The sequence below is a fragment of the Homo sapiens genome, chromosome 3, assembly GCF_000001405.40.
Source record: "Homo sapiens chromosome 3, GRCh38.p14 Primary Assembly".
NCBI classification, from domain to species: domain Eukaryota; kingdom Metazoa; phylum Chordata; class Mammalia; order Primates; family Hominidae; genus Homo; species Homo sapiens.
Window position 1 is genome coordinate 171,962,508 of NC_000003.12, and position 27,805 is coordinate 171,990,312.

General features: G+C 40.9%; 1 long non-coding RNA gene across 1 annotated transcript in view, besides 2 other annotated features; it reads left to right on the plus strand.

The window, feature by feature from the left end:
* The window catches only part of LOC105374217 (uncharacterized), a 44,277-nt gene extending 23,619 nt beyond the window's left edge, over positions 1-20,658 (plus strand). The window contains exon 4 of the long non-coding RNA XR_924718.4: positions 20,351-20,658. This is a non-coding gene — a long non-coding RNA (uncharacterized LOC105374217). The remainder of the gene's footprint in view (positions 1-20,350) is intronic.
* Positions 4,848-4,992: an enhancer, noted in NCBI's record as "145 bp enhancer 130 fragment used in the MPRA reporter construct; PK_construct_961". NCBI's record gives its function as "activates an SV40 promoter by MPRA in K562 cells {active_cell/tissue: K562}" and the evidence as "EXISTENCE:reporter gene assay evidence [ECO:0000049][PMID:23512712]".
* Positions 4,915-4,926: a transcriptional cis regulatory region, noted in NCBI's record as "FOXA motif; enhancer activity is reduced when this motif is scrambled". NCBI's record gives its function as "necessary for full MPRA enhancer 130 activity {active_cell/tissue: K562}" and the evidence as "EXISTENCE:site-directed mutagenesis evidence [ECO:0005528][PMID:23512712]".
* Positions 20,659-27,805: the final 7,147 nt, after the last annotated feature.

The following is a 27,805-nucleotide window of genomic DNA, read 5'->3' on the forward strand; positions in this document are numbered from 1 at the left end:
TTACTGTCCTTACCCAGGGTTCTGAGTAACGTGCACATGTCAAAGTCAACAGTGACAGATAATTCAAATCAATAAACGTTGATTATACACCTGTTAGATTTTACGCATCACATTGGAGATACAAAAATAAGTAAGATATGGGCCCTGCTCTCAGAAAGAGGCAGATGTGTAAACAGATAAATTACAATGCAGCACCCTAAATGCCATGACACACCATGATCGGAGCAGGAAGGAGGAGAAAGTGATTAACTCCTCCTGAGAGGGCTTCACAGGGGTGACAAAAGGTGGATAGAGGGAGGGAAAATTGTATTAAACAGATTCTTGAATTATTTATAGAAGTGTTGTTTTGAAAAATGTGGGGAGGGGAGCATTTCAGCGTCAAATAATTTAAGCGGGTTCTTTACTGCAAGATTACTATTTACTTTCATTTGTTACTACTTAGATCATGTGCACATATGTATCTACAGATGTAAACGTATCTTACAATTATCACACTAACGATATAAGGTGTTTTACAACCACCTTTCTACAGATTAAGGCAATAGAGGTGCGGAGAGATTAAGAAACACACCTAAGACACACTAATAAGTGATAGAGGTGAACCAGGAGCTACTCAGTAACATAATAATTAGGGCTTGTGTGTTTCGGTAAAAATAAAAATAAAAAAATGCAAGAACAGAGAATGACAATGGTTCTCCTAGCAGTGAAGTTGTGACTTGAATCCTCTCATTTCACAGAGGGAAAGAGAAAATCAATAGAAAAGAATATCTTTGGGCTGGGCACAGTGGCTCATGCCTGTAATCCTAGCACTATGGGAGGCCAAGGTGAGTGGATCACCTGAGGTCAGGTGTTCGAGACCAGCCTGGCCAACATGGCGAAACTTCATCTCTACTAAAAATACAAAAATTAGCTGACAATGGTGGCGGGCGCCTGTTATCCTAGCTATTCAGGAGGCTGAGGCAAAAGAATCACTTAAACCCAGGAGGCGGAGGTTGCAGTGAGTTGAGATCAAACCACTGCACTCCAGCCTGGGTGACAGAGCCAGACTCCAAGACTCCATCTCAAAAAAAGAAAAGAATATCTTTTTGGCATATATTAACTGGAGAAGACATGTTAATAAATATGTGTCGAGCAAATTCCAAATAGTCTTCTTCAAGATCAAATTCAAAGGTGAAATCAACAAGTGTGTCCATTTGTATGATAGGATTGGTAGGTGTTTGGCGATAAACAAATGACACTTTGCAGGGTTTTAGGTGTTCGGTATGATGTAAGCTTTAGAAATAAGGCAATCTACTCCTGAAGCTTAGATATAAGACCCATCTGAATGGGAAAATGAGAACTGTTGACTGTATGCTGTAGAAATACTCTTGAGTAAACTAAGGATAAAATTCCACCAAATCTTTAGAAATGAACTGTTGCTAGTTCTAATAGGAAAGCATGGGCCTGTTATAAAAGAGAGGGCTTTAAAAATAGTAATAGTTTCTGGCGGGGGGCAGTAGCTCACTCCTGTAATCCCAGCACTTTGGGAGGCCGAGGCGGGTGGATCACCTTGTCAGGTGTTCGAGACCAGCCTGACCAACATGTAGAAACCCTGTCTGTACTAAAAATACAAAATTAGCTGGGTGTGGTGGCGCATGCCTGTAACTCCAGCTACTCGGGAGGCTGAGGCAGGAGAATTGCTTGAACCCAGGAGGCAGAGGTTGTGGTGAGCCCAGATTGCGCCACTGCACTCCAGCCTGGGCAACAACAGAGAAACTCTGTCTCAAAAAAAATAAAAATAAATAAAAAATAAATATATATATATATATATATGTATGTATGTATAAATAGTTTCCATTTATTGAGAGCCTAACATTAAAGAGCATTGGCTTTGGGGTCAGATATGCCCAGGAGTTCAAAATCCCAGCTTTCACTCCTGTAGGTGCATGATTTTAAGACAATTTACTCTCTCTGCCTGTGCCTTTGTCTGTAAAATGGAGACAGTAAAACCAACCTCCCAAAAGTTATATGAGGATTTAATGCCTCATACATATGAAGCACTTAGCATAGTACCTAGCACACCATAAGGTTAAAAAGATAACTACTGTAATAATTACTGTATTATATATTCTTGTGAGATCAGAGAGGAGGAAAAGGTTGATTCTTTCTGGAAGGAGTAATCAGATGGGTTCACAGAAGAAAAATATTTATGGTGCCCAGTAGGATGGCTGTAATTTTTTAAAAAGAAAAAAAATAATGACAAGTGTTGGCAGGAATGTGAAGAAATTAGAACCCTTATACATTGCTGGTGGGAATGCATGGTGCGGCCACTTTGGAAAACAGTTTACAATTCCTCAAGAATTTAAGCATAGAGGTACCATACCATCCAGCAATTCCTCTCCAAGATATATGCCCAAGAGAAAAGAAAATATTTCCACAATAAAACTAGTACTTGTTACTAAAAGTGTTATTCGTAACAGCCAAAAAGCAGAAACAACCCAAATGCCCATCAGTTGATGAATGGATAAACAATATCAAAATGTGGTATATCCATACAATGGAATATTATTTATCCATAAGAAGGAAGAACTGATATATGCTGCAACGTGGATGAATCTTGACAATGTTATGCTAAGTCACAAAAGGCTACATATCATATGATTCTATTGACATGAAAGACCCAGCATAGGAAAATCCGTGGAGACTGAAAGTAGTGGTCACCAGGGGCTGAGTGGAGGGGGAAGGGGGAGTGCCTGCTACGGGATACCGGGTTTCTTTAGGGGTGACAGAATGTTCTAGAGTTAGATCATGGTGATGGTTGCACAACAGTTTAAATGTACTAAAAGCCACAGAATTTTCACTGTAAAATGGTGAATTTTATGTTATGTGAAGTATTACTCATATTAAAAAATTTAAGGTGGGATTTCAAAGAAAAGGAAGGATAGACCGGGCAAAGCAGGGAGAACAGGGCACCCAGTCTGGGGGAAGGCCTAGGGTCAAAGTTCAAAAGCAATAACATCCAAAGTTTGTTCAAAAATGGGGAGAATCTGGTGGAGATACAGCCTCAAGGCTACACTACTCAAACTGTGGTCAGTGGACTGTGAATTGTTTGTTACATTTTGTGAACATGTAAATGAAGAAATCCGAAGTAAATTGTAAAAACATTAGCTACTTACTGTGCACTCAGTCAGTGGCCTCCTCTCTTTACATGGGATACAGACCATGTAGAGCTCACATGGTGAACTGCATGTTGCTCAAGTTACACACTAGTTATGCACAATAGAAGCACATATCGGACCTCCACAGAATGGAAATGAAAACAGCTCGTCCTTTACTTTATATACTTTGAGAAGCACTGTCATGCAGAATGCATTATAAAAAGTAATAGGCAGCCTTTAATCCCAGCACTTTGGGAGGCCGAGGCGGGTGGATCACGAGGTCAGGAGATGAGACCATCCTGGCTAACACGGTGAAACCCAGTCTCTACTAAAAATACAAAAACAAAATTAGCCGGGCGTGGTGGTGGGCGCCTGTAGTCCCGGCTACTTGGGAGGCTGAGGCAGGAGAATGGCGTGAACCCGGGAGGAGGAGCTTGCAGTGAGCCGAGATCGCACCGCTGCACTCCAGCCTGGGTGACAGAGCGAGACTCCGTCTCAAAAAAAAAAAAAAAAAAAAAGAAAGTAATAGGCTGGAGAAATGGGTTGGAAACAAAGTGTAAGGAGCCTTACAAGTTAAGTAGTTTGGGGCCACATTTTAGTCCAAAATTCTTTTCTTCTTCTTTTTTTTTTTTGAAACAGTGTCTCCCTTTGTTCCCCAGGCTGGAGTGCTGTGGTGCTGTCTCAGCTCACTGCAGCCTCGACCTCCCATCTCAGCCTCCCGAGTAGCTGGGACCACAGGCATGAACCACCACGCCTGGCTAATTTTTGTATTTTTTGTAGAGACGGAGTTTCACCTTGTTTCCCAGGCTAGTCTTGAGCTCCTGACCTCAGGAGATCCGCCTGCCTTGGCCTCCCAAAGTGCTGGGATTACAGGCATGAGCCACCACACCAGGCCTCAAAATTATAACTAGGTTGTGCCTAATTATGCACCATCATTGTGAATTGTGGCACTTCTAAGTATGGATTGTCTTTTAGAAGTAGAGAAAACAGAGTAAATGGGTAATTGCAGGGAAAAGAAAATCTTAAAACAAACACAAACCCCTGAAAAACAAGTCAGGGGATATCTACTCCACGGAATCAAAAAAAAAGTCTATGGAATAATCAAAAGAGGTTACAAAAAAGGCACATAGCACACTAATCAACATGTAAAGGATTGTTTATATTTACTGAATGAATAAAAGAAATCAGAACAGGCCCCCCCAGGATGGAAACAGAATTGAGGGCTAGGTTAACGGCAGAGGCAAGAGGGCAGTAGGAAATCTCACAGCTCACATGAGGCCAGAGGGCAATAGGAAATCTCACAGCTCACACTCTCCTGCAGAGGGAAAGAACAAAACCAGCCAGCTCTATGTGTGGGAAAACACTCTCAGCCTCTTAGAAGAAGAACCCTATATTGATTCCAGACATTGTTATTCCCACATGCAGGGGGAATGAAGAAAGAAAAGGAAACCAAGGTATTGACAGGAAAACCAGCTTCTACTTTCTCCTACGTCTTTGATGTCACTGTGGAGCAACCATGAGACTTTCCCTGTTGTCATTTGTCAATTCGTCCTTCCCCAAGCCAAGGCAGTTTACTAACGTCTAGACTCATTAAAGTGGATGAGATTTTGTTTCCAAATCCTGGACAGTGCTAATGTAAATGCTTGTTTATCCATGGTGGTGCAGAATGAAGGAAGTCCATGCTCTGCACAAGTAAAGCGATGTGTCATGTCATATTGCCAAAAGGTTGCATCATTTCTAAACTTTCCGGAAGACTGGATGGGCAAGAGGTCATCTATGTTTATTTTGTGAAGTTTGCCCTACCAGGAAATGTGTGGGTACAAGAGATATTTTGGGCCCATGAGACTCTCACTTTAGATGCTTAATCCAGCAGCATGTGCTATAAGCTTCAGTCTCTAACTACATCTTTAAAAAGAGTGGCAAGTTGTGAAGTATGCAAGGTTTTTTGGCTGCACTGACAGAGCCACGTATAAAATCCTGTTGCCAAGCAGAGACTAGAACCAGATGACAAAGACTGAAAACACACGCCATGTATTGACTTTCCTATAAAATACTCATTACAACCTAATCCAGTCATACTCATTTCTAGAAGAATTACATAATCAGTCAGCAATCCATATTAATTAAAGTTGTAAATTGACCTTAAAAGAAGATTTTTAAACAAAATTGTTCATGTCAGATTTCTTTAAGAATACAGTGGAATTACTTCAACAAAGAAGAAAAATGTTTTAAAGAAGTAATTTTTAGCACAAATTTTAACAAATAGTACTATTCATGGCCCACCAACGGCCCTATTCAAACGTCTCTTGGACATTTTATTTGTGGTTTTCACATCATTCATAATCTAGAAAATAACAGTACCTCTGCCCTGAAAGGAACTACTCCTCTACTTTTCCCTGTGGTTCTGATACGGCTGCCAAGGAAAATATCACTCAGATGTAATCCTCCAACACACACACACGCACACACACAGACACACACACGCGCGCACACACACGCACACACACATTCCAACCCTTATCACATAGCAGTAAGAAGTAATGAAGCTAACACAAACAGGAAGACAATACCAAGAGATGGAAACAGAGAGGCCAGCTCTAACCCTGGAATGCACAGCCAATATATCACCTCTATTGTTTAAACTATTTGAGTTGTTCCTGTTACTTGCAACCAACAGAATCCCAACACCAAAACCCAGGACTTTCAATTCCATAATGGACAGTGCTCCACATTGCACTATTCGGGGGTGGAAGGAGTCTGGAATAGTGCAATGGGGAGTAAAGTTTATATGACTGTCACCCCATAGACATAAGCTACGTGTGACTGATAGCCCTGGAGTTATGCAATGTGAAGTTATAAGGGGATATTTTGCCCACTAACACCATCCATTTCTCTACACACCTAGTGCAACTTGAGCTTGGGTAAAGCCACTTCTAGAACTTCCTGCCTAGTACTGCTATTCTTGCCATTACCACTCCATATTTCATGAAATGCCTTTAAAAAGAATGTTCCTCCACTCTTCTTCTTTGCTTGGATCCTCACAATGCAGGTACCAATTTCTCTATGGAGAATCTTTTAGCTCAGCCCCACATAGAACAAGGCCATTTCTCATAGCAGATGGTGGCCAATTATTTCTGCCTAATTCCTACCTCTACAATTCTTGCCCTTAGAAACCCTTGCATTCCCTACTTCTCTAGAGGTTACAAGTTCACTTCTCAAAAGTCAACCTCGGTGGCTCACGCCTGTAATCCCAGCACTTTGGGAGGCCGAGGCGGGCGGATCACGAGGTCAGGAGATCGAGACCATCCCGGCTAAAACGGTGAAACCCCGTCTCTACTAAAAATACAAAAAATTAGCCGGGCGTAGTGGCGGGCGCCTGTAGTCCCAGCTACTTGGGAGGCTGAGGCAGGAGAATGGCGTGAACCCGGGAGGCGGAGCTTGCAGTGAGCCGAGATCCCGCCACTGCACTCCAGCCTGGGCGACAGAGCGAGACTCCGTCTCAAAAAAAAAAAAAAAAAAAAAAAAAAAGTCAACCTAAAGTCAAATGTCCTTCAATCTTTCCCGTTCTCTGAGTCTGTTTCTCTGACCTCTGCTCCCCTTCCATATTGGAGTTGAAAATCCATCCTTCCTGTTGGCTTTTAATATCTTATTAATAGTCACTCAGAAAATGTACTGCCTGTTTTAAAAAAACTTTTAAGTCTTGGAAGCAATATTTTTCAAATCTAGAGAGTTTCTTTACATGTGGGAATGAGTGGTCTATCAAGCCCTAGGTTCTTTTACTGGTTGCAAATGAATCCTTATGATTCACTGTACACACCTATAAAGGTCCTCATACTTTACCAGTGGAAGAGGGAAGGACCCCCCTCCCTTCAAAACAGTCTTGATAAAATTGCAAGACGAACTTCACTGCTGAGCCTCTAATTCAAAACAAACAAAGAAAAATAAAACAAAACAACAAATGAACAATGGAATACCCGACAACCCCCCCCAAAAAAATCAATTGACCTAAACACAATGCCAAGAGTTACTGTAAAGAGTCATCTTTTGGCCGGGCGCGGTGGCTCACACCTGTTATCTCAGCACTTTGGGAGGCCAAGGTGGGCAGATCACAAGGTGGGCAGATCACAAGTTTGAGACTGGCCTGGCCAACATAGTGAAACTCCATCTCCACCTAAAATACAAAAAATTAGCCGGGCATGGTGGCAGACGCCTGTATTCCCAGCTACTCGGGAGGCTGAGGCAGGAGAATTGCTTGAAACTGGGAGGCAGAGGTTGCAGTGAGCCAAGATCACGCCATTGCACTCCAGCCTAGGCGAGAGTGCAAGACACAGCCTCAAAAAAAAAAAACAAAACAAAACAAAAAGCTGGTCGCAGTGGCTCATGCCTGTAATCCCAACACTTTGGGAGACCAAGGCAGGCGGATCACAAGGTCAGTAGTTCGAGACCAGCATGGCCAACATGGTGAAACCCTGTCTCTACTAAAAATACAAAAATTAGCCAGGCGTGGTGGTGGGTGCCTGTAATCCCAGCTACTCGGGAGGCTAAGGCAGGAGAATTGCTTGAACCCGGGAGGAGAAGGTGGAAGTGAGCTGAGATCACGCCATTGCACTCCAGCCTGGGCAACAGAGTGAGACTCCGACTCAAAAAAAAAAAAGAAAAAGAAAGAAAGAAAGAGTCATCTCTTAAAGATACACAATGATGTAAGAAAGTAAGACTCAAAAGTCTCAGAATGTGTCATAGTGCTAGCCACATGAAATATCAACCCTCATTCCACTGGTGAAGGCACTCATGTTGTGATCCTAAGCCCCTCTTCCAGGCCTATCTCCCACCACACCCTTTATGCACCCTGTGTTTTAGGCAAACTGAACAACTCATGCGGCCTACACATTCCAGAGTTCTTCCTGGCTTCCCTCCCTGCCCCTCAAACTGTGCAGTCTCAGCTTCCCTCCCTGCCCCTCAAACTGTGCAGTCTCAGCTTCCCTCCCTGCCCCTCAAACTGTGCAGTCTTACACAGCTCATCTTGGGGATGTTATCTCCCTGTTGAAGTTCCTCCTAATCCTCTACTTCCTTTCTCCCTCCAAATGCAAAAATAACTTGTCTTTCTTTGGACTCTCAAAATACTTTATTTTGTATTTGTCTATTGGACTTTATCTTACACCACCTCATTTTTAGAGTTACTGTTGCCCATTGCTCCTGAGAGCAAAAGTAGTGGCTTATTAATTTCTGGGTTCCTAATGCCTATCACTGTGCTGTGTAGGCAGTAGTTTTTTGATGATCTTTATTGTGAAAGTTATTTAGAATAAGTTAAGTGACTTATTCTAAATAATTCATTGATGATATGAATTTTTCCATCATGGCTTTACCTAAAATAAATCTCTCTAGATCAAAGTTAGGCAATGCTTTTTCTTTCTTTCTTTCTTTTTTTTTTTTTTTTTTGAGATGGAGTCTCACTCTGTCACCCAGGCTGGAGTGCAGTTGTGCAATCTCAGTTCACTGCAAACTCCACCTCCTGGGTTCAAGCGATTCTCCTCAGCCTCCCAAGTAGCTGGGATTATAGGCATATGCCACACACCCAGCTAATTTTTGTATTTTTAGTAGAGATGGGGTTTCTCCATGTTGGCCAGGCTGGTCTCTAACTCCTGACCTCAGGCGATCTGCCCACCTCGGCCTCCCAAAGTGTTGGGATTACAGGCATGAGCCACCAGGCCCAGCCGCGGCAATACTTTTCTAGAAGTGAGTCTTATAATACTAATTCTTAGTCTGTGTCGTTGAGTGAACGTTTGTGTCCCTCGAAATCTATGTGATGAAATCCTAGCTCCAAGTATGATGGTATATGAGGCAGGGACTTCGGGAGGTAATTAGGTCAGAAGGATGGAGCCCTCATGAATGGGAGTAGAACTCCTATAAAAGAGACCCCAGGGGCTGGGCGCAGTGGCTCACGCCTCTAATCCCAGCACACTGGGAGGCCAAGACAGGCGGATCATGAGGTCAGGAGCTCCAGACCAGCCTGGCCAATATGGTGAAACCTCTTCTCTACTAAAAATACAAAAATTAGCCAGGCATGGTGGCGGGCACCTGTAATCCCAGCTTCTCGGGAGGCTGAGGCAGGAGAATCACCTGAACCCAGGAGGTGGGTGTTGCAGTGGGCTGAGATCGCACCACTGCACTACAGCCTGGGCGACAGAGTGAGACTCTGTCTCAAAAAAAAAAAAAAGAAAGACAGAAAGAAAAAGAGACCTAGGTAGCTCTCTCTTTCTCTTCCTGCCATGTGATGATATAAGGAGAAGACAGCAGTATGCAACCCATAAAAGAACTCTCACCAGACCCCAACAATACTGGACTGGGTTCAGACTTCCAGACTCTAGACTCCAGAACCTTGAGAAATAAATTTCTGTTGCTTATAAACCACCCAGTCTATAGTACTTTGTTATAGAGCCCAAACTGACTAAGACAGTGGAGTGTTGCCATAACAAATACCTAAAAATGTGGAAATAGCTTTGGAACTGGGTAATAGGTAGAGGCTGGAAGAGTTTGTTTTGAGGTACATGCTAGAAAAAGCATAGATTGCTGTGAATGAAATGTTAAAGATGATTGTAAGACAGAAGGCAAAAATACTTTCATTGGATTGGTAAGTCAAGCTAGGAAAAGAACAGGAACTCATATTACTGAGGAGAGGACCTACTATGTGTCAGATATTATGCCACACACTCTGCATATCTCATCTCTCATCTAAGCAAGGAGATCACCTCCATGGTAAAAGCAGCCATCTCCATATATAAATTTATCTTTTGAACTTCAGGACAATTTCATCTAACAAACTGCATATGTACCTTTTTGTTATTTTTTTGTATATTATTCGTTTTCCCCCCACCTTTTTCTTTAACTAAAGCAGAGTTTTTTTCTCTTTTTTAATTTCTTCTTTTTTTTTTTTTTTTTCACCACTGTATTCCCAGTACTTAGAATAGTGCTAGGGAATCAGAGCAGGCACTCAAAACATGTTTAATGATCAGATGATTTTGACCTTAACATTTTCTACAAGTACTTTCCTAGCAGGTCTTGCAGTTGGTCCCTGAGAACAAAATGACCATTTTAAACATTTGCATGTGAGGATCACATTCTTTGCTGTAAATAAAACTCAGACATTTCTCCCAAGTGACCCAGAATCACAGGTGTACATCCTGAGAACCAGAAACATCTGGGTGAAGAGGGAGGAAAAAACCCTGCAATGTTCCAACCCTACAAACTGCTTTTTAAAAGACAGAATTAGAGAAAGCTTCAAAAACAGCCAAAACCTCTTGCAGAAAGAACTCCTTTGTGGAATGATGGAAAAGTTTGGAACCAAGGTTTCCCTGGGGCTGGAAGTGTTACTGGCCTCAAGGACTGAACCAATAACACTGCTGGAGTGAGTGTGGGTTCCAAGCTCAGCGCCTGCCAAATCCAGGATTTCTCCTCCCCAGTTCTGAAGACAAACCAGATAGAAATTAAATCTGTTGGGTAACTGAGGTGCAGTGGAAAGTATGTGTGGCTGCAACTCAGAAGAGTCGTTTATATTTATTTGTTAATATCAGGCTGTTTTTCCATTAGATTCTTAGATTCCTTAGATTCTTGCATAATAGTGTTTCATTAACTAGTGTGTGGGTGTTACTAGTAACAGTACACTCTTAAACAAATAAGGCAGGTGAGGGATGTTGTCAGTAGAAAATATATTGATTTAGTTTTTATTTCATTGAATTTTTTTTATTTTAATTTTTTTACCAATGGGGTCTCATTCTGTTACGCAGCTGGAATATGATCATGGCTCACTTAAGTCTCAATCTTCTGTGTTCAAGCATTCTTCCTACCTAACCCTCCAAAGTACCTAGAACTACAGGTGCACAGCACCACATCAAGCTAATTTTTTAATTTTTGTAGAAATGGGGTCTTGCTATGCTGTCCAGGGTGGTCTCAAACTCCTTGCCTCAAGCCATCCTCCCCCCTCAACCTCCCATAGTGCTGGGATTACAGGCATGCATCATTATGCCCAGCAATTTGTGTTTTTTCCTAACCTGCAGAACAAAGTAATAAGCCTGTTTGTTTCAAGATCTCCACCTAGATAAACATAGAGAATTCTAAACATTAAATATTTCTGAAACTTCAACCTAGGAAACTACTGCATTTTTTAGAGTATTTTGTCCTCTTCTTTTTGAATGTTTTACTTTTTTTTCTCACCTGTATTGTGAAAAGAAAACCAGAAAGCAATTATTTCTTCCTTCTATGCCCATCCCTTGTCTTTAATATCATCTTTGAAATAGTGACACCAAGGTCAGTGACTTCTCTAAGTGGCGTGAGCCACTGCTTCTGGCCTTCTTTGGTTCTTTATGATTTTTAAATTCATCCATCTCCCTAACAGTCCCCTCATCTCAAGCTCAAATTCAACTATAATAATATTTATAAGTGTCACATGATACATATTAATAGCATCATTCATTTCTTCATTTAATAAGTATTTATTGAGGCTGGGTGCAGTGGTTCACACCTGTAATCCCAGCACTTTGAAAACCTGAGGCAGGCAGATCACCTGAGGTCAGGAGTTCTAGACCAGTTCTAAACCTCGTCTCTACTAAAAATACAAAAATTAGCCAGGCCTGGTGGCGAACACCTGTAATCACAGCTACTTGGGAGGCTGAGGCAGGAGAATTGCTTGAACCCAGGAGGCGGAGGTTGCAGTGAGCCGAGATTGTGCCACTGCACTCCAGCCTTGGCCACAGAGCCAGACTCTGTCACAGAATAAATAAATAAATAAATAAATAAGTCTTTATTGAGCTCCCAATATGCACCATGTACTGTTCCAGACTCTAAAGTTAAAACTACAAAGAAAACAGGGTCTCTTTCTGAAAGGTTCCTAATGTTTAAGGGTAGATGGACAATGAAAGCACAATCAGTGCTGTATCAGGGGCAAACGGGGTAACACAATGGAGGATGGGAGCAACATGTAACTATGTTCCATGAAGGTCATCAAAGACATTGTGGAAGAAGTGATTAATAGGAGTTAACTCAAAAAATGGGGGGGAAAAACAAAGCAAAACAGGAGAAAGCATGTGCAAAAGTGCAGAGGCAAGACATAGCAAGCAATCTTACAGAACTACAAATAACTCAGTGTAGTTGAAGGATAGGTGGGGGGTGGCACTGGCAAGACACAGGTGGGAGAGACCAGACTGTGAGAAAGCCTTACATCCTGAGGACAAGAGGGGATTGATGAAGAATTTTAAGCAGGGTGAACGGACGGGACATAATTAGAGATTCAGAAAGATCCCCTTGGATTTGATGTGAAAACTGAAAACCAAGAGACCTGTTTGGAGGCAGCAGTGGTGATCCGAAGAGAAGAAATGATCAAAGCTAGTGATGGTCCAAGTGGAGTTATGCCCTCGGAGGTGAGACCTCTCTTGGGGAGGTGGAATCTTCAGGACTTGGGTACCAATTGGACAAGTGTGTCAGGGAGGGAGAAGGGTCAGGAGATGCCCAGCAAAAGGAGCAGATTTTAGCTGGGAAATGGAGACAAGAACTTAATTGCAGTCCAATTGAGTAGAGGTGCCTGTGGGAAATCTAGATGTAAACATCCAAGCGATCCGAAACCTAAGTCTGAAGCTCAGGACAGCCTTCTGGGCCATTGGCACAAGTTCAGGGGTCATCAGCAATAAATCGTTGGAGCTACAAGAATGAACAAGATCACCAAGGGAGAGAATGTGTCCGGAGAATAGAAGAGGGTCAAACTCAGAGAGGTCACACTGAGTTAAATAGAAGGGCAAAGGAAAAGTTGTCGGAAAGGAGACTGAGAAGGAGCAGCCAGAGATGGAGGAGGGAAAGTTGGAGAATGTGGCTTAATAGAAGGCAAATGAAGAGAGCATTCCAAGCACAGAAGGAAGTGGTAAACAGCGTCAAATGTTGAGAGCTCAAGTCAGATAAGAAATGAGAACTGTTTATTAGATGTAGCAATAGGGAGGTGGCTTGGGACCAAATGAGAGCAGTTTCTGAGGAAAGGTGTGGGCAGAAGCAGATTGCTGTCAGTTGAGAGGAAAGGGACATGAGGAAGCCACAGAGAATGTGGACAGTTATTTCAAGAACTCGGGCTCTGAGGGGGAGGAGTGTGATAGGAGAAAAGTGTAGGGCAAGCGGGAGAAAAGAAGAGTTAGGAGGATTTTTTAAAAAGAAAGAGACTTGAGGATACTTAAAAATGGGAAGGATCGTGTGAAAATTTTGAGGTTGAAATGTAGAAGAGTGGGGATACATGCCGGAAGGAAGTACATGAGAAGGCCCAAGGTGATGAGAGCCTAAGTTTAGATGGAAGGGTTAGTCTTAGGGGAAGGTAAGTGCAGGTATAGGGACAGGTAAGATGGTGAAAGACATGGCAGGAAATTGTGTGTGTTCTCATCTGTGGCTTCTAATTTTTTGTGAAGGAGCAGGCAAAGTTATTTGAAGGTAAGGGGTGAGGTAGAAGTATGAAGGAAAGAAATAGATGGCTTCAGTTCAATGAGGAAAAGTCTCATAATCGATGCTGTGGAGATGGAAGGGAGAGAGCTGACCAAGAAAACAGGAGCATCAGGCAGTGCTGATGGCACAGGGCATGTGGGAGTTCATTTGTAGGATACCCTTCCAGAAAGTTCGGTGATTTTCTCCAGCTGTGCCTCCCAGCCCAGGAACAGAAAAAAATGTAGACAGCTGCGGGTGGAAGAGTTTTGCCTCCATGTTTTGATGGAAAGACAATTTGAGAAGACTAGAGGGGAAGCACCAAGTTCACGAGTGAGCCGGATGTCAAGGGAGTGGAGTAAAAGTGCAGACAGAAGTACAGGGAGGGAGATGATCACTTTCCAAAAGGAAAATGCCAAGGCTTAGGAGGAGAGGAGCAGTGGGAAAAGGAAATCCAGAACAGAGGAGTAAAATGGGAGAAAATGTTATGGTTGTCCCACGAGTCATACCTTGGCCAAAGACCAGGAAAGGCAACAAAATAGAAGGAATATAGAGTTCTCACCAAAATAAAGCCTAGTAGTCATCTTGTAGCTAGGAAAACTCCTGCCTCTGTGAAGAAGTAAACCAAGGCTTGCATGGATTGTCCTGTTAAGGGAATCTTGGCCCATTACATTGGTCCATGGGGATTCGCTGGTTCCTCTGACTCTCCTACTGGAAACCACAGCAGCCTCTAGGGACTGGGACACTCTCGTTTCTCTGAAAGGAGTCAGCCCATGTGTGGTTCAAGGATGCTTCACTCTCTTTACCCTATTTATAGAACCTTCTTATTTGAGAACTTTGTGAGGTAAGTAGTATTACCTCCCATTCACAAGCAAGGCTCAGAGAGTTTTATAACTTGCTCCCGGCTGTCAGCTACCAAAAGGGAGAAGTGAGACTAAGTGTACATTTTATGACTCCGAGTTCAGTGCTCTTTCAAACTATAGGCCTGTCTTATAGGACTGGAAATCCCTTAATTACTTCAAACCCTATGAGAAGATGCCAGTGTAATGGTTGTAATATTTTTGAAAATAATAAATTGATATGTTTACATTTATATTAACTTCCAAAGCCTAAGTCCTTCTGACTCAAATAGCAGATAGGCTGTCAGGTGGGGGTGAATACCACCCATCTGGGAAATGTTCACGGTCACTTATGATTGTCACAGGTCTGTGGAATGCTGCTGGCATTTAGTGGGTGAAGGTCAGGGACATTAAATCTCCAGCAATGCCTAGGGCAGTCCTACCCAACAAAGATTTGTCCTACCCTAACTTCAGTGCTACTCTCAGTGAGGAACACTGGTAGGACAGCATGGTAGATGGCCTCCAAGACCACGCTGATGATCCCCACCTCCTGGTATTCCACCCTGTGTAGTCTCTCCCACATTGTACTAGAGTCGTATAACCGGTGGAACATGGCAGAAGTGATGCTATGTCACTCCCAAGATTGCAGCTCCTGTCTTGGTCACTGCGTCTCTCTTGGATCACTAGTTCTGGGGGAAGCCAGGTCATGACCAGCCCTACAGAAAGGCCCAATGGTGAAGAACTGAAGCTTCCGGCCAACAGCCATGTGTATGACGTTGGAAACAAATCCTCCAGTCCCAGTCAAGTCTTCAGAGGCTGTAGCCCTGAGTGACAGCTTGACTAAAACCTCAGGAGAGACCTTGAGTCAGAACCACTCAGACAAGCTGGTCTCCGATTCCTGACCCTCAGAAACTGTGGAAGATTACAAATGTTTGTTGTCTTAAGTTACTAAGTTTTGTGGCAATTTGTTATGTAGCAATCGATAACTGAGATAAAGAAAATAGTCATGGCTAAGTTTAATGTCTGTCTATCTATCTATCTATCTATCTATCTATCTATCTATCTATCTATCTTTAATTCGTAGCAAGACTGTCTTAATAGCCAGCCACAATTGACTCAGTCCACAGAGCTCTAACATGAACCATGGCAGTAACTCAGGATATGATGTAACAGAAGTTCATGTCTACCTAGAGAGAAAGGGGAAGTACAAACTCTTTGAGGAGGAAATAAAAAGATAAGGGAAGTAGAAGAAAAGAAGCATTCAGATATTTGGGTCTTAGCTTCTGATTCCAGGGCCACTGTACTTGGTTGTGCAGTGTTTATTCAAGGAGTCAAGTGAGGGTGGGTATCCAAGCCTTGTTTCACTTACCAAGATTGGCAGCCCTTGTCCAAGGATATCTTTCTGAAAGATCTCACTTTCTAATTTTCATAAGGGAACTGTATTAGTTTCCTAAAGCTGCCATAACAAAGTACCACAAACTGGGTGGCTTAAAACAACAGAAATTTATTCTTGCACAGTTCCATAGGCTAGAAGTCTGAAATCAAGGTGTCAGCAGGAACGTGCTCCCTCTGAGACTCTAGCTGCAATCCTTCCTTGACTCTTCCTAGCCTCTAATAATGGCCATCGAGCCTTTGCATTTCTTGGCTTGCCGCTGCATCGCTCCAATTTCTGCCTGTGTTGTCACGCAATGGTCTCTCTCTGTGACTCTGCCTTAACAGGTCATCTTTCATCTTCTTATAAAGGCACCAGTCATATTGGATTAAAGGCCCAAACTATTCCAGTATGACCTCATCTTAACTAACAACATCTCCAATGATCCTATTTCCAGATAACATTACATTCTGAGATACTAAGGGTTCAATAGATAATATAGGACTTCAATATATCTTTTTAGGGAACACAATTCGACACATACCAAGACCTATACAAGTTAGCATTCTCTCTGCCCACCTTTTGGATCAAATCAAGTGTGTAGATGGAGATAATCAGATATGTTTGGAGGTTTTTCCAGAGCAGGGAGCCTTTCCTAACTTCTTCGGATAGACACTGAAATAAATTCAAGTCCTTTAGAGGAACCAGAGCTTTAGTATGGAACTGTCCAAGCTGCTTAGAAGTAGCTGAGGAACAGATGAAGGTGGAAAGAAGGTTGGAAAAGTGCCCATAAGGTCTCTCGTGTCTCCCATGTGAAGTAGAAGGGACTCATGAGTCCCCACATAGTCTTGTTAGGGATGGCTGAGTAGAGAGCCAGTGAACCTGCCATAGGGCCACCGAGGCATGGAGTTAGAATAAACTTTCCCAACTCTGTCAGCTTTTGCCGCAACTAAAGGACCTGCACTACCAGCAACAGCCTAAGGTCCTGGTGGAATCAAGAGAATGAGCATAAGTTTCACAACCATGAACGTCAGTAGCAGATATCAGCAGGGTTCCCTATAACTGAGAGGGAAAAGAGACATTATCCTGGAGACCATCAAGGGCCTATTTTAATCTGATAATCCAAGGACTAGTGACCCCTCTCCCTGCCCGACCTCCAGTACCGCGCGGATTCCATCTATAGCCAGATACAATGTTGGTGAGAAGACCTGGAAAGGGAGTGAACTCAGAAACACTGCATATTTACCCAAAATGTACAAATTAACCCAAGTGTCTGCTTTAAACTAAAGATATTGCTAAAAGAACTCTTTAACTGACAAGTTTATGTCTCCTCCTAGCTGTTCATAGAATAAAGAAATCATTTATAGAAAAATTTTTCTTTTAAAAGCCCCTTTTTTCAGACTTTCCAATTTGTAGTGGATTACATTTTTGCCCCCATTGAACCATCAATGTAGTAATTATAGCAATTGCCTGATTCTTTTCCCCCTATAATTTTCCAAGAAGGAAACACTAAATGCAAATATACTCATTTGTCTTTAAATCAAATCCCCAGTCCATTCGGCCACCCCAAAGCAAATCATCTAAATGTGAATGTAAGCAATATTGTGTATTTTAGAGTAGGAATAATTTGACCATTGACAGTTATAGACCTCTAGAAGAATTACTGGTTCTTAGCAAGATGTAGAAAATGTCTCAAAGATTAATAAATGTACCTAAGGTGGTTGGAGACAAGGCCCTAGATGCCTACAGAACTGCCTTATTTTCCATAGCAGAATGCAGGAAAAAAAAAAAAAAGGAAGAAGAAAAATGGAGAGGAGGACAATGCTACATCTTTATTTATCCTCATTGTTTTCTCCTCTTCATTCTCCATTTATATATATTATTTCATTTTATCTCAAAACCAAGAAACAATCTTTCTCAAACTGAAGTCAACAGACTACCAAGATTTTCAAGCTGTTCTTGGTGCTAACTCTTCATAAAAGTAGGCAGGTATTGTAGTGGGCCAATGTACAACCAAAGAAAAATAAATTTATGGATATATAAAGACTTACAGATACCACCTCTCCCCTCCATAAATGAATAGTCCATCTTCCTATTATGATAATTATTCACAGCAAGGTGAAATAGAAAACACTGAACTTGGAGTCACAATATAGGGGTAAAAATTCCAATTCTGCCCTTTACTACCCTTGTCATCTTGTTGGAGTTATTGAACCACTGTGAATCTGACAGCTATAAGATGGAAATTATATAATAATTCTACATATTTCTGAGTTGCTCTGAGAATTCAATGAGACCCACACTGTTTGAGGGTAATGCTCCAAACCACCACTGATATTACACAGGAAGTGTTACAGTGCTATGCAGCTGACACATGAGGCAAGACATAATTCTTCTCACTCCCCCACACCCCACTGTCTACTTCTGCAGCAAAACAAAGAAAACTGGTGCTATGGAGAATGTAATTGCCAGACAGAACCAGCATCCAAATGGTGCACAAATTAGCAGCCAGCAGTTGTTCCCAGAGTTAACAAGTCGATATTAAGGACTTCAAGTCATTAATAACAAAGACCTGCAGCAAACACAGACACCCCAAGACAGGCCAGAGGATAGAAGACAATACTGTCATCAGTAGTGAGGCCAGGCTCTCACTAGCTGAGACTTATCAACCAGTTTCTTAATGAGAAGAAACAGAAGGGAGATAACAAAAGTTCTGTTACAAACCCCCATTACCTTTAAACTCTCAAACTGCTCAAAGTGTGATTCATGGACCAGCCACATTATCACCTGGGAGCTTGTTGGAAATGCAGCATCTCAAGCTTTGCCTCAGACATACTGAATATGAACTTGCATTTTAACAAGATCCCCAGGGGAATCACATGCACATATAATTAGAGAAGCACTATTTCGGAGTTCATTGAACAGCAGCATGTAAGATGAAGTATATGTAGTTCTCAACACATGCTTTTGAGTGTTCATATGATCTCTGATCAAACAACTCCTCTAGGTAGCTATGCATAGAAATTCTTCCAGGTGGATTCTACCTGACCATTGCTATCAAGATTCTGATACCCGGATGAACAAAAACAGATAAGCAGCACCCTTTGGAGTTGTTGGAGTTTTATGTCTTAATGAATGCCTAGCTGTGTCTGGGAGGTACTGCAAGAACACCTATTAAGTTCCCTCTTAAGAATTCAGTGTACACACACACACACACACACACACACACTTAACATTCATCCAACAATCATTTATTGGACACCTACCATATGCAAGCATGTATTCTTTGAGAAATTAATAACCTGAAGTAAGTAATCTTTTTTCAACTTAAACTACAAATCAAGATTTACATGGAATTGAAATGCTTTTAAATCAAGCAAATTTTAAGAATTTTACACTCTGGTTTTAAATCTGTTAGCAGGGAAAGAAAATTTTTATAGGAAAAATGTCAGAAATGATAAAATGTACACTTGAAATACACTTTCCAGTCAGCTCATGTGAGCAACCTGAAATGAGGAAAGAAAGAAAAAGATCAAAAACAAGGAAAAATAAAAGATGGAAGCAGGTAGGCTCAAAAAAAACAGATGAAGAATGAGACGGTGAGAGATGGCCAGAAGAGAGACAGAGATACAGGTAGAGTGAGAGATACAGGACAAGCGTATGAGGCAAGTTAGAACTGCTTCGGCCATGTCTTCATGGCATGTGTTCAAATGACACAAATTTGTACATTTGAGTTCATGGTAAGAGATTATTTCCTGTAACATTCTATGGCACTTAACCATCTATGGCTTATCAGCTCTTTTGATGAAATACCATTGGCTCTAAAATGAAGGGGCTGAAGCATCCCTTCTGGCTTAGAGGTACTGTTATCACCTCCACTTACAAGAGGAGAATTAATTAATCATCAGCAAGGATAATTTGTGAAATTCTAGTATTTATTGTGCCCTGGAAAATCTGCTGTAAGGACTTTGCCACCTGCATTGGCCATCAGAGCAATGATCTCATCAAACTAGATGTGTACACCAAAACTCTGGGCTATCAGTCATGTATTCTTTTCAAAAAGATATCCAATAATAGAAGTGACATCTCAGTAAATTGGTATAAAATGGAGAGTTGGCCAGGCGCAGTGGCTCACGCCTGTAATCCCAGCACTTTGGGAGGCCGAGGCAGGTGGATCATGAGATCAGTAGTTCAAGACCAGCCTGGCCAAGATGGTGAAACCCTGTCTCTACTAAAAATACAAAAATTAGCTGGGTGTGGTGGTGCACGCCTGTAATCCTAGCTACTCAGGAGGCTGAGGCAGGGAACTGCTTGAACCTGGGAGGCAGAGGTTGCAGTGAGCTGAGATGGTGCCACTACACTCCAGCCTGGGCGACAGAGCAAGACTCCATCTCAAAAAAAAAAAAGGAAGTTAAGATATTCATCAGAAATCTAAATTTTATTTTAATAGAGGACTGCATAAAACTGTCTGAAGAGAACAGTGGGACCCAGTGGTTTTATCACCCCATGAGCATGAAAAAAGAAATCTTGTTTCTTTTTTTTTTTTTTTCACTTTTAAGGTAGAAATTCTTATGGACTGGAATCTTCCTCAAGGCTTACTTTGTTCCTGGGATGCAGTGGTGCATAGAAGATAGGGCATTGACTCACTCAGACCTGGCTTGCCCAGCATGCATTGCAACAATGATGTGCAAGTTATTAAAGACATGAGTGAATTCGTAAGTATAGTGTAATTTGAGATTTCCTATGCAAGGTATTCTAGAAATGCCAAGTATCTTGTTTACAACAAACCAAAAACTGAAATGTTGGTTGTCATGTTCACTACCACATAGAAAATACACAGTGAAAGACTTTCACATTTTCAGTAAAATAAGCAAAGGGGGAACGGTGATTTATCTTGCTGAAGTTCTGTAAGGCAAAATTATTTAGTTCATTGTGAAAGAAAATAAAACGTGCTCTAGAGAACAGAACACATAGCTTTTAGAGAGATAGGCTGCTTTTAAAAAGATGTCTGTGATTCCACAATAATGACATAAAAGCCCTAAGTGTTATTTCCTAGTCCTTACTACATTTTAACTGTCACTGAAACTAAAGTAATGGAAAAATTATATTTGTATGTATAAAGTAACTATAAATTATCCACTCATTACAAAACATCTTATCCTTTATCTATTTAGATACAATTATAGCCTTGCTCTCCAACATTTTGGAGAACAGGATGTTGGTTAATAAAAATTCTAGTTAAGTAAGTATTCAATTTTTTTTTAGTCTTTCTCTTATATTGTCCTTTATTCAGTTCTCCTAGACTGACAAAAAATGTGTCCCAGTGATGTAGCTTTTCCTTCCAAAAAAATTAGCAGGAACAGGCTGGACGCAGTGGCTCACGCCTTTAATCCCAGTGCTTTGGGAAGCCGAGAAGGACAGATCACCTGAGGCCAGGAGTTCAAGACCAGCCTAGCCAACATGAAGAAACCCCATCTCTACTAAAAATACAAAATTAGCCAGGCGTGGTAATTCATGCCTGTAATCCCAGCTACTCGGGAGGCTGAAGCAGGAGAATCACTTGAACCGAGGAGGTGGAGGTTGCGGTAAGCCAAGGTTGCGCCATTGCACTCCAGCCTGGGCAACAAGAGTGAAACTCCGCCTAAAAAAAAAAAAAAATTTATCAGAAACAATAAGTAACTCTCTAAAGTCTCCAGCGTTTCTATACTCTTCTGATTCTGTCATTCAATAAACATTTTTGTATGATAGACCATCAGATGTGCTGAATCTATACAGATTAGTAAAATACTAAGTAAGTAACAGTGTTTGGCTGTGATTATACTTTTTAAATTATGGCACATGTATACATATTTTAAACATGTGTGCCATATGTATACATGATTTATTGATTTAATCATTTATTTTTATTTATTTATTTTATTTATTTATTTATTTTTTTGAAACGGAGTCTCGCTCTGTCACCCAGGCTGGAGTGCAGTGGCACCATCTCAGCTCACTGCAAGCTCCGCCTCACCAGTTCACGCCATTCTCCCGCCTCAGCCTCCCGAGTAGCTGGGACTACAGGCGCCCGCCACCACGCCCGGCTAATTTTTTTTTTTTGTATTTTTAGTAGAGACGGGGTTTCACCGTGTTAGCCAGGATGGTCTCGATCTCCTGACTTCATGATCCGCCCGCCTCAGCCTCCCAAAGTGTTGGGATTACAGGCGTGAGCCACCGTGCACGGCCATGTATACATGATTTATATTTGATCATAAGCTTCATGAGTGGAGTGACTGAGTCTGTCTTGTTCATGTCTGTATTCCCTAAATATAGCATAGTTCCTGGCATTTAGTAAGCAAGTAGTATATCTATTTACTCATTGAATAATATTCATTGAACACCCATTATGTTCTGGACACTATTTCTAGATACTGGGAATACAGGATTAAAGAAGAAAGAAAAAAAGAAAGTTTCTGCTCTCATAGTGTCATATTCTATTAGGGAATAATAAGTGAGCAAATAAGTAAAACACATGGTATATACTTTGAGGGGAAAAAAATAAAGCTACGTAAGAGAAGGAAAGCAATGCAGATGAGATGCTACCAGATACGGGTGATTGTAGAAGCTGTGCTGTGACACCCAGTTCCCGCTTTAGGATGAGGAACTCATTTCCCCAGCTGGCATGAATGTTGACTGCCGAGGGCTCACAGCTATGTCCTCTCCTGGACTTGGTTTTGGTAGAAGGAAGCTGCTTTGCCCAGGGTTTTGCCCCTTTCTAGGGACAGCATATATCCAGTAACTGGTTCATACAGTGGTACAGATCTCTCTTGCCTCAACTGGAACAATTCTGAGGGTCCATCCCAGCTCCAGAACTCTCTGTAGGAGGAACTGAGGTCTCTGTTGCAATCGCATCAACAGTACAACTTCTCCTGTTTCTCAATACTTTTTCCTTCAACCTCATTTATCACAGATGTTGATCCCAAACACACTTGCCAATGTATCTCCTCATGCAAATATTGGAGTCTCAGAGTGAGCAGAGGAAAGATAGGCATTTGGATTTTGTTTATTTATTTATTCATTTATTTTGAGACAGAGTCTCACTCTGTCGCCCAGGCTGGAGTGCAGTGAGGCAATCTCAGATCATTGCAACCTCCGCCTCCTGGGTTCAAGTGATTCTTCTGCCTCAGCATCTCGAGTAGCTAGGATTACAGGTGCGCCACCACGCCCAGCTAATTTTTATATTTTTACTAGAGATGGGGTTTCACCATGCTGGCCAGGCTGTCTCGAACTCCTGACCTCATATGATCCGCCCACCTCAGCCTCTCAAAGTGCTGGGATTACAGGTTTGAGCCACTGCACCTGGCCGGCATATGAATTTTATTCTAAGTAGGTATATAATAGGTATTTGACATGAGACTGGAGTTCAGGGGAGAGGTACAGCTGAGGATATGAATTTGGAAATGTCAGTTACAGTCAAAGCCAAAGGACTACATAAAAATCACTTAGGGAATAAATAGAGAATAAGTCTCAACAATAGAATTTTGGAGATCCCCAACATTTAGAGATCAGGAGGAATGGGAAGAATCAGTAAAAATTTAAAAGAAGAAGCCATTGAGATAGTGGATCCATAGAATAGTGTCATGGTAACCAAGAAGGAAAAGTTCCTCAAGGAGGGAATGAGCAACTGGGTCAAATGCTACAGACAAGTTAAGCTGATGAAAACTGTGAATTGATATTAAGACTTGGCAACATGGAGGTTATTGGTGACAGTAACGGTTCCAGTGAAAAGATGGACAAGGGTGTTGATTTATTGAATGAATATAACACATGTTATGAGACAAGATTTATTAAATGTTTATTATGTTCACAGGATATATCTGTACTTCTTTCATATTTGAGAGGGCAGGTAATCTATATTCCCAGTTCCTAGATCGATGCCTGCCACACAGTTGTGCATAGTGCATACTTTTTTAATGAATGAATCACATCGTATCATTTTTCTAAATGCAAGCATCACTTACCTAACAGTATCAAATTTTAAACAGGAAATTAGATTATAATCTTTCCCCTAATTCAACTGCCTCTTTTACTACTCAGTATGCCGTGGCTAAGGAGATTACCACACAGCTAAGCCTGGGACCAAAACCCAAACCTCTGAAGTTGAGTTCCTCATTTTGTCTGCTACAACTTTTGCTTTATGTAACTTTATGAACCTCAGATCACCTTTGGTTCAAAGTAGAAAAATATCAAAAAATTTTTTTCTTGATGTTAAAATAGCCACACACTTAATTCCTCAGTGAGATCTCTTAGTGTTTCTAAAGAGATTAAATTGTGTGAAACTTTCTGATTAAAATTTTTACTTTTTAATTCTGTGTTTTCATTGATAAAATACTAAGGAGTCTAGATTGTGCTAAGAGTTTCCACATTACTTCAAAAGTAACCATTTGCAATAGGACAGCATGGGGTTTTGTTTCTGTTCTTCTCATTTCAAGCAAAAAGTTATCTTGCTTGATTCTTTTTAGTTAAATCTTTGAGAGGACAAAATACAAACCTTATCATTTGAACAAACCTTAAAGCTCTCTCATGTGCCTGTTGATTTTCCTAAAAAATGATTTTCAATGATGCAATCTGAACTGAGATAAATTAACATTGTGCTAGTCACTTGTAGTCAGAAGAGTTTAGTTTATTTTCAAGGAATCTAAGTATTTAACACCAATAAACAGACAGTAAAAAATGCAGTATTGTGAAATTTCCTAATTTATGGGGACAGATTTTTAATGTCACACTCAGAAAAATACTACTTGTGGGTAACATCATTGAACCAACCTTTGGCAGAAACTTCAAAAAGCAACTGTCAAATGTCAAATCATAGACTAAATCATAATTTTATTCTGGTAAGTTTTACTTATCGATACTGTGATCCAGCTGCCAAAATCAAAAGTATAATTTACTTGTCTCATTGGCTATGTTATACTTTTTTTCTGGAAGTGTCGGATAGTCTAAGAAAAAACAGAAAATGTCAGCTGTATTCAGTTTGGTCATGGAGCAAATGAACAAGCATGAAGTCAGCCTCTTTATTTTTAGTCTACCCAGGCCAAGTTAAAGGAAGCCATTACTTAGATCATTCAGCCTTCAAAACCTGCTATGCAACAAAATTATTCAACGTATTTTAATAAAGTTTATTTTAAAGCATAAATAAGGTTCATTTGTAACTACCAATGTAATAATTGATTTAGGCAAAGGTTGTCAATGGATACAAAACCCACCGGATGAAAAGTAGTTGGGGAACAGGAGATTCACTCAACTTCAATGAAGCATCCAACAGAGTGCTTATTTTGTTTTGTTTTGCTTTGCTTTGTTTTGTTTGAGACAGAGTCTCACTGTGTCCACCCATGCTGGAGTGCAGTAGCAAGATCTTGGCTCACTGCAACCTCCACCTCCCAGGTTCAAGCGATTTTCCTGCCTCAGCCTCTGGAGTAGCTGGGATTACAGATGCATGCCACCACACCTAGCTAATTTTTGTATTTTTTTAGTAGAGATGGGATTTCATTATGTTGGCCAGGCTGGTCTCGAACTCCTGACCTCAAGTGATCCGCCCGCCTCAGCCTCCCAAATTGCTGGCATTACAGGCATGAGCCACCGTGCCTGGCCCAGGTTACTTATTAATTACAAAAGGAAATGAAACTTTTATAATGGAAAGATGCAGTAGACACACACATGTGCACACAAGGATGCACCTACATTTATATGTATATATGTATACACACTTAACTTTTAAAATTTTACACACTTGCCTGCAACTTGCCTTTTTCATCCAGCAATACTGGTAGAATTTCCAAATCAACTGATAAGCCCCTAATTCTCCATCTCTTTTTTAATGACTGGACAGTCTATGGTTATGGATATAGTGAGACTTATTCATCCAGCTCCTTCACTGAGGTGCGTTTACTTTTCCCCCAGTTTGCTGCCTTTACATACCATACTATAAAATAAGCATCTCATACATACATCATATGTTCTGATCCTTAATTACAATAAAATTAACACCTAAGAGTAGGTCAAAAGTATAAGTATATTAGATTATATTATAAAATATATATAATTAATATATCTTATATTAATACACATTACAAGATTGCTTTTCAAATGGGCTGATAACAGTTCATAGTGTTCTACAAAAAAAAATAATATATGAAATTATTCTTCTTCCCCGGTGTTATTCCCATGGACAGTAGGTATTATTGCTCTATCATTTTCCTGCTTTGATGGAGTAGAAAGTGATACCTCATCAGGGAGAGAATTTGCATTCTCTCATGATGATTCAGCTTATGCACTTTAAAAATATACTTATTCATCATTTGTCTTTGCTCATCATATGTTTTCGCTATTTTTCTATCAGATTATTTGCCATTCCTTGTTAATGTCTAAGATTACCTTATGTTACCAGGAATATTCATGTTTTGTCATCTTATCAAAACTATGTTCAAGTATGTGACTTTCTCAATTGATCTTATTTATGGTTTCTTTGCCCATATATTTTTAATGTTATGTATAAATATGTATCTATGCATAGATAAGGAAATATACCTTTGGGACTTCCCATCTTAGTGAAGAATGGCTCCTATACCAATAGAAGGAGAAAAATCATTTTAATTTTCTTTTTTATAAGTGTTTTACATTCCCTGTCAAATTTATTTCTACATTTTTTGTTTTTATTCTTAATAATAATTTTATTGAGGTATAACGTACATGATATAAAATATCCCAATGTAGACATGCAATTCAGTATTTTAGTAAATTTCTGTAATTGTACATCCATCACCACAATCCATCATTTTTTTTTTTTTATTTGAGACAGAGTTTCATGCTTGTTGCTCAGGCTGGAATGAAATGGCATTATCTTGGCTCACTGCAACCTCTGCCTCCCAGGTTCAAGTGATTCTCCTGCCTCAGCCTCCCAAGTAGCTGGGATTACAGGCGCCCACCACCATGCCTGGCTAATTTTTGTATTTTCAGTAGAAATGCAATTTCACCACGTTGGCCAGGCTAGTATCGAACTCCTGACCTCAGGTAATCCACCCAGTTCGGCCTCCCAAAGTGCTGGGATTACAGGTGTGAGCCACTGAACCCAGCCACAATTCATCTTTAGAGCATTTCTATCACTCCAAAACTTTCCCTCATACCCATTTAGTCAATTCCTTCTCCCATCTCAGCCCCTGGAAATTGCTAGTCTGCTTTCTGCCTACAGAGTTAACCTTTTCTGAATATTTCATATAAATATAATCTAATATGTGGTCTTTTGTGACTAGCTTCATTTCCTTAGCTTATTATTATTATTATTATTATTATTATTATTATTATTATTACTATTATTATTTTGAAGTTGTGTTAGCTTCCCGAGGCTGCCACAACTGGGTGGTTTAAAGCAACAAAAATTTGGCCAGGCCCAGTCGCTCATGCCTGTAATCCCAGCACTTTGGGAGGCCGAGGCAGGTGGATCACCAAGTCAAGAGACCGAGACCATCCTGGCCAACATGGTGAAACCCCGTCTCTGCTAAAAATGCAAAAATTAGCTGGGCTTGGTGGCGAGCGCCTGTCAGCTCAGCTACTCGGGAGGCAGAGGCAGAAGAATCACTTGAACCCGGGAGGTGGAGGTTGCAGTGAGCCGAGATCAAGCCACTGCACTCCAGCCTGGCGACAGAGTGAGACTCCATCTCAAAAAAATTAAAATAAAAATAATAAATAAATAAAATTTATTGTTTTATGGTTCTGAAGGCCAGAGTCTAATATCCAGGTATTGGTAAGGCTGAACTCCCTCTGGAGGGTCTGTGGGAGGATGCTTCCTTGCCTCTTCCAGCTCCTCCTGGCTGTATGCAATCCTTGACTTTTTTGGCTTGTGGCCACATCACCCCAATCCATGCCTCCATCTTCTCATTGTCTTCTACTGTGTGTATATGTTAGTTCATTCTCATACTGCTATGAAGAAATACCTGAGACTGGGTAATTTATAAAGAAAAAGAAGTTTAACGAACTCA